Consider the following 7,407-nt stretch of genomic DNA (forward strand, 5'->3'; position numbering starts at 1 on the left):
TCTCAACTGCAGCATCTTATGTCACTCTTTCCCTTTCCTCTGCAGCCACACTGATCTTTCACTTCTCCAAATATGTGCTCTTGCTCACCATGAGATTTTTGCACAAGCAGTTTCTTGCTTCTCCTTTATCTAGTTAACTTCTTCCCAACCGCTCAATCTCAGACCAAACATTACTTCCTCAGAGAAGCCCTCTCTGACTACATTGACTAAGTCAGTCTCCTTCGTCTTATGGCTTCATAGAAACATGTCCCTATCCTGCAGAGCCTATGGATACATGATTGCTAGTTTTAGTCTTTGACTAGTATCTGTCTCTCCTTCCAGATTGTAAGTTCCTTTCCCAAAGTATAAAGGCATTGTTCTGGTTTTTTATTGCTGCCTAACAAATCACCATAAAATGTAATGGCTTAAAACCACCACCACCACCACCATAATTTTGCACATGAATCTGCAGTTTGGCCAGGAGTTGGTGGGGACAGCTCATCTCTGCTCCATGTGTCTTCAGCTCCACTGGAGCTGGAGGATGCACTATGAGATGACTCTCCCAGAAGGCTGGTAGGGAGTTTTGACTATCGTTTCATCTGCACGTGGTGGCCTCTCTACTGGATTTCAAGAGCAAGTATCCCAAGAAAAAGAAAGTAGAGGTTGCAAGTTTCCTAAGGCTTGAGACTAGAAATTGACACAACATCATTTCTGCCATATTCTACTGGTCACCAGTCAAAAACTCAGATTCAGAGAGAGGAGACATAGAGCTCCCCTTTCCCTCAATGGAAGGAGTGTAAAAGAATTTGGGGGCCACGTTTTAAAAATACACAAGCATGATTTTTGTCTAGGTTCCTGTCTCATTCTCTCCTGAACATTTGGCACAAAGTCTGGAACAGAAGAGATACCAAGCTGAATGAGGAAATACACGAGCGGTGCTCTTTGTACCAGAGAATCTGTGGTTGGCCAGGATATTTTTGAACTGACCCAAGCTTTGTGATTTCTGAACTTTTCCTACAAGCCAACTTGTTACAGCAAACCAATACCTGGGTACCTCACTTAGGAGGACGCCAATTTATTCAAGTGCACTCCTCGATTCCTGACTCTTTTTTCTGTGGTTGTGAGGGAAGATGGCAAACAAGTCACTCTCACAATTAGCAAAAATGGCAATTACAGACGCTTGCCTGAAAACACAGTGTACTTTAAATTAGTTACACATGACTAATGCACGTAATACCCACCCACAGTTGACATTCAACACCACCCACAGCAGAGCCTGCAGCCGCTAATCTAAAACCACTGGGGAAATTAGCCTTGCATAAAGATAACCTGGGAAGAATCTACTCAGTTATGAATCCTGAAAGCAGCTTCCTTCCTTCATTCATTCCAACCCAGCTTTCTCCTACACTCATTGGCCTGATTATAAATGGAAAACCCTTATTGAGCACCTACTATGCATCAGGCACCATATTAAATGCTTTGCAAACGTTGACTCATTTCATCCTCACAACAACCCATGAGCTTGTTTCTTTTTAAATCATCCCTCTGGTGGCAGATAGACACGAAGATGACCCCATGATGCCCACCTCCTGGTATTCATGCCTTCGTGTGATCCTCTCCCCTTTAGTGTGGGCAGAATCTGTGACAAAGGGAATGGGGTATGTGTGATCACATTGTGCTTTTCATATGCTGAAGTCTCTCTCTTTCTGTCTTTATAGTTGACTTTGAAGAAGTTAGCTGCCATGAGTCCCATACCCAAAAGAAAATGAAATTTGCCAACAACCTGAGTGAGCTCGGAAGTGGGCTCTCCTCAGTCAAGCCTCCAGATGAGAACCAAGCCATGGCTCACACCTTGACTGCAGCCTGGCAGGTGACCCAAGTAGGCACCAGACTCCTGGACCACAGAAACTGTGAGATCATAAATGTGAGTTGCTCTAAGCCACTAAGTTGTGTTACTTTGTGACGCAGCAGTAGCTAAAGAACACCCATTTTACAGGGAGGACACGTGGGATATTAACCATGTTGCTCAGGGAATCCCTGGGATTTAAATTGGTTCTTCCAATAATAATAAGAGCTACTATTTCTGAGCCCTTACAACAAGCCAGGCATTGTGCCAGGTGCTTTACCCATGTTATTTCCTTTAATTCTCACAAAAATGTTGTGCAATAGGCACTACTCTCATTTTACTTTATAGCTAAGTAAACTGAAATCGCAAAGGCTATTTGACCAAACTTACAGCTCTTTAGTGTTGAAACCAGGATATGAACCCAGGCAGCTTGACTCCAGAGCTCATTATTTACTCTTAATTCTCTATTCTTTTGCTTCCTGGAACAGTGCAAGTAACTGCAGGTTTATTCTGATAAAATGGGAAGGCTCAGCTCTCTAAACCAGGCTAGGATTCTCAGAGCTGAAGCTAGGCAAAGAAACTGAATGGAGAGGTAAACATTGTCTTCCCCAGTTGCAGATCCTAGAGGTAAGACAGTCATCAATGATGAATCCACAGCAAACAAAAGTCTGAGCCAAATATCCTAAGCAACATGAGGGCTCTGGGAGGGAGATTTAAAGTCTGAGTGAGGCAAGACCATGAAGACAGCACCCTCAGCAAGAATGTGGTTGGAGAAAGAGGGGGTACAATAGTCCTTTTGTAAGCTCAACTGCCTCCCTGCAACCTCATAGGTACAGTCTTATGGTATAAATCTAGAGAAATTCTGCAGGTAAACTGGGCATGTCTGGGGAACCTAATCTGTTAGCCAGGAGCACCCTGTCAAATATGCATCTATGAAACAGACATGAGAACATAGTAGTATACACTCAGAATTGCTAGAGTGGCCTTACACCAGCTCTAGGGTAGAACCTGCCAGCATCACATGGCCTGGTCATTTCAAAAACCTTGCAGGAAAGCTAGAAGAGAAGGCCAGGTGGAAATGGGATCTAGGAGCTGCTGTAACTTGATTTAGCTTGGCCTAGATTCTGTCCGTTCTGATGATGTAATAGGCTCTGTCCCCAAAGATGAGTGACACAGCCCCTGCCCTCAAGAAACTCACATTTGAGTAGAACACATAAAGGTCAGCAAACCACTAGAAAACCAGAAAGTTTATATAAGCTAGAGCAGAGGTCCACATGAAATGTGGTGGGAGAAACTAACTCCAAATAGCAGAACTGGGGGAGGCTTCATGAAGGTAGGATTCTGCATGATTCTAGAAAAGTGGTTAAGTATTAAATAGGCAGAAGCAAAGAGAAAGGTGGTGTACTGAAGGATATAGAGGTAAGAGATAACAACAGTATTCATAGAGCAACAAGAAATAAGTTTGGCCACAGTGTGAGAAGCCAGGTAAACTAAGTAATGGGTTACAAAGGGAAAAAAAGGCTGGGGCCAGATTATCTAGGATTTGAAATGCAAAAAAAGGGGACATTAGATCATTATTATATAGTATGAGGAGTTCTAGAATATTTGAGAAGGAAAGTATTTAAACTTGCCTGACATTTAGGGAAACATCTTGTCTCCCTCATTTAATATAGTCCTGAATGAAAAGGGCGTTGTTTCTTAGAAAATTCTAAGGAACACTGATCACATGCAAGTTTCCATAAGCCAAAGAGTCCTCTTATAAAACACGTATCAAAAATGCGTATATTCCTTGAAGATCTGCAATGCATGTTAAGATATTAGAACAGCTTGGATGTCCTGCAGTAGAAAAACCTATTTAACTCTGTTTCACTCAGTGTTTTCCCAACTACTTAATTACAAATTTCTTTCTATGACCAAGCATATCTTACTATCTCTTGAAACTGTAGGACATGTTACCGCATGGGATGCATGCTCGGTGTTCTCCAGTTTTTCTACCAAAGAGCTTCTTAAGGTAATGCCCAAGTTCTTACTACTTCTTACAAGAAGGTTGAGAGGATGATATCTGTTTTGTGTTTAATGAGTGAGTTTCGCTAAAAGGGATGAACTGAGGATAACTCTACTAAGTGCCCTGTCATCTAAGAAAACATTGAGTCAGTCTTTTCTGCTTCAAAGACCAGGAAACTTAGAGGTTTCACTGTTGTCCTAGCTATTTGAAGCTCCCAAATGGACTTGTCTCAATACAAGTATCAGAGCATTCCACATTAATTACAAGTATCCATTAGAAGGCCCAGGAGTGGCTTTTCAGGCAGGTAAATGGGACCAGAACAGATCTATAAAAGCACAGGGCCTGATATAAATCAGACCAAAACTACCAAGGGGTCTTCACTGGGATCAGGAGCATGATTCAGCCATAAAACGATTCATAGCTTCTTCTTCCATATAAACATTTTGTGTCTCATGGAAGGATTCTTTACCATCTATTCCAGGCAACAGACCCAAAGATACAGCACAGAAAGGGAGCATAATTTGGCTATAAAAATGTTGTAATAAGTGATTTTATATAACTGAAATGCCAGTTCCTTTACTACATCCTCCCACTCATTTTACAACCAGTTAATATTTTTCTGAACTTTTGTGTTGTATTCCACTCAGCCGCCTCTGCAATCATTTTTGCCTATTTTTCTGCCAGAGCCACAAGAATAAAGCTGTCAGATGATCTGTGAAGCCATTTTTCTTGTCTGGCAAATTGTCTAGAAGCAACCAGAACCTCCTACCTGCTCCACTATGTAAGAGAAGAAGCCTGTCTTAACAAAACAGAATTAAAATAGTCTTTTGACCCACGTTATCTATAGGCATATAGAATGAAATAACTGAAAATATATTTCACTGACTTTTTTTTTTTTACCTTGCTCCAATAGGATTGAGGTGGATATTCTTGTTAAGCGGCCCTGGTGTTGACATGTTTAGAGAGATGTTATATAGCCCTCCAACAGGAATATCAAGATATTTGAACTGCAATAATAAATGTGGCTGCTCCTAGGGGAAGAAGGATACAGCAAGAAAGTGCCCCAGAAGAAGAAGATTAAGAACCGAAGTGAGCTAATGGTATACAGTGGTTAGGATTTGAATGTGATTAGGATTTATAGTTTCAATTAGTGCCGGAGAACAATTTTAGAAAGTTATTAGCAAGCAACTGGCATTCGCAAAGATGGCTCATTTGTGTGTTGCTCAAGATTAGCTGGGTCTTTTAGTTGTTTACAAACACACATAGTGGCTTGTCTTGAATGTGTAGAAGTGACTGCAACATTACATACTCAGAGCTCTTTAGCAGAAATGAAGCCTAGAGCTTTGGTTTCTTACTATTCCTGTGTGGGCAAAGCAAAACTCAATTTTGCAACATTTTCTTTATTTCAAAAAAGAAGGTAAGTTTCCCTACCTGTTCTAAACTCCAACATGCTATTTCAAATGAATAGCTTTCCCATTCAACAAACTCCTTCATATTTAAAAGTCTTAAGTGCCTCAAATACTCCATGTTGTGTTGCCTAGAATACAAACTAATTTTTTAAATCTCCCTACTGGATTGTTTTCCACTGAAACCCATAAGTCTTTACATTGGACTGTATATATTTTTCTCTTTTAAAGCCTTTGGGGCATTATTCATACAGGGCAAAAATTCTCAAATAGATTAGAATCCTGGTTGAGGCATCTGCAAACACAACAAAAAGCACTCAGTCTCAGGGAGTTGAAAGCTGTGCCTGGTTTTGTTCATGTCAAAAGCCATGGAAGGTATTACATCACCTTGAGCCAGCAGACCTTGACCTTAGCCTCCCGCTGAGCAATGAGACAGTTTCCCCAGGCCCGGAATGTGAGAAATACAAAGGAACCCTTCCCACACACGGTGACATTAGGATTCCTCATGGGATGACAAGGCCTTGCTCCAGGGATGATGTTTCCCACTGTAGGAGAACAGCTACTGTCTTTGATGAACTGAGTCTACAGGGCTATTGAAGGTATGGTCTTTGATCTCAAAATTCAAGTGCTTACAAAATATCCATTTCTTTATTTTCTCTATTTTGTAACCTAACTAAAGATATTTCCTTATCTGAAAAACATACATTTTAAATACAAATATATATTTTCTGAAATCAGATTAATGTGTCTAAACCTTCGTTTCTTCAGCTGAGAAAAACTAGTGTGTGAAATGGAATCCGGGAGGCTTATCTGATAGAAAACAGGGCCAGAGACTGCTCACATTGACCAGTCCTATTCCACTGTGGACCTTTGAGCCTAAGCATTCTTCTATTATGCTACTTTGTCAATAAATGCACTACTATGCACCCATTGCCTTCTGGGCTCTTATCTTCTTGTTTCCTAACCCTCCTATACATAAATAAATTTAATAGACTCAAGTACTTACACAGGTAAGAGAAGCTCAGATCTCAAGAGGATTTTGCTTTAAGGCCTGCAAAAATCCTAAGGCAAAGAGACAGCAAGGATTCAGCTCTCTTTGTGAGATGAGGAAGAAGATAAGATAACTCAATCATGCTAATATCTCTAAAAATTTATCCTGCCTTTAGTCTGTTGCAGGTATAAAGAGTTCAGAGTTCTACTGTTCATTTTTCCCATTCCTATCTAGAAAATATTCGTCTTTCTCTCAGTTTTGATTATCTTTGGACTTGCTTGAGGAGGCAGGAATTTGAGCATGTGGGACTAGATTCTAGAACCATGGAGAGTTAAGGACATGGTTTTGGTAGTGGTTATGAGTATGGAGCTGTGATGTCAACTCTGCCTTTAAGGATTATGACCTGGACATTGACCAATCAGATAGGCACCTATGAAATGAATGCTGACTGATACAGAAATGATTTTGCTGTACTGGTAAATACTGGCAGACTATTAGCTCAGAAATATTATACATGTTGGGTGATTTGATTGAGCTAATTGGAATAGCATTCTATAACCAAGCCAGGAAAGATACTGAAAAAATATGCCTCTCTCCAAGTCAGAGATATTAACAGCAATATAAAATAATTTGTGTTGTATATGCATTTGTATGAATATTATGTATATACTCATACGCAAATAAATATATACTCATACAAAAACAAATAAAAGGCCAGTTGCAGTGGCTCATGCCTGTAATCTGAGCACTTTGGGAGGCTGAGGCGGGAGGACTGTTTGAGCCCAGGATTTCGAGACCAGTCTGGGCAACACAGTAAGACCTCATATCTACAAATAAAAACATTAGCTGGGCATGGTGGCCTGTACCTGTGGTCCCAGCTACTGGTCCCATCTGAGGTGGGAGGAATGCTTAAGCCTGGGAGGTTGAAGCTGCAGTGAACTATGATTGCACTGCTGCACTCCAGCCTGAGTGACAGAGCAAGACCTCATCTCAAAAAAAACCCCAAATATATGTATATATGTATACATATGTACACACACACACACACACACACACACACAGACACACACCTGTATCCATCCAAAGTTAAATAACAAATAATATGTTGACACGGCAATTTCAAATCTACTCTTCAGAGATGTATCAACCAAACAGAGAGGGAGCTAAGGTTTTGATCCAC

The 7,407-nt window shown here is 40.7% G+C and overlaps 1 annotated feature.

The window, feature by feature from the left end:
* Window positions 5,094–6,293: an enhancer, noted in NCBI's record as "CDK7 strongly-dependent group 2 enhancer chr3:67346086-67347285 (GRCh37/hg19 assembly coordinates)". NCBI's record gives its function as "activates an origin of replication core promoter dependent on BRD2, BRD4, P300/CBP, MED14 and CDK7 cofactors, with strong dependence on CDK7, by STARR-seq in HCT116 cells {active_cell/tissue: HCT116}" and the evidence as "EXISTENCE:reporter gene assay evidence [ECO:0000049][PMID:35650434]".

Source organism: Homo sapiens, chromosome 3 (assembly GCF_000001405.40).
Source record: "Homo sapiens chromosome 3, GRCh38.p14 Primary Assembly".
Lineage (NCBI taxonomy): Eukaryota > Metazoa > Chordata > Mammalia > Primates > Hominidae > Homo > Homo sapiens.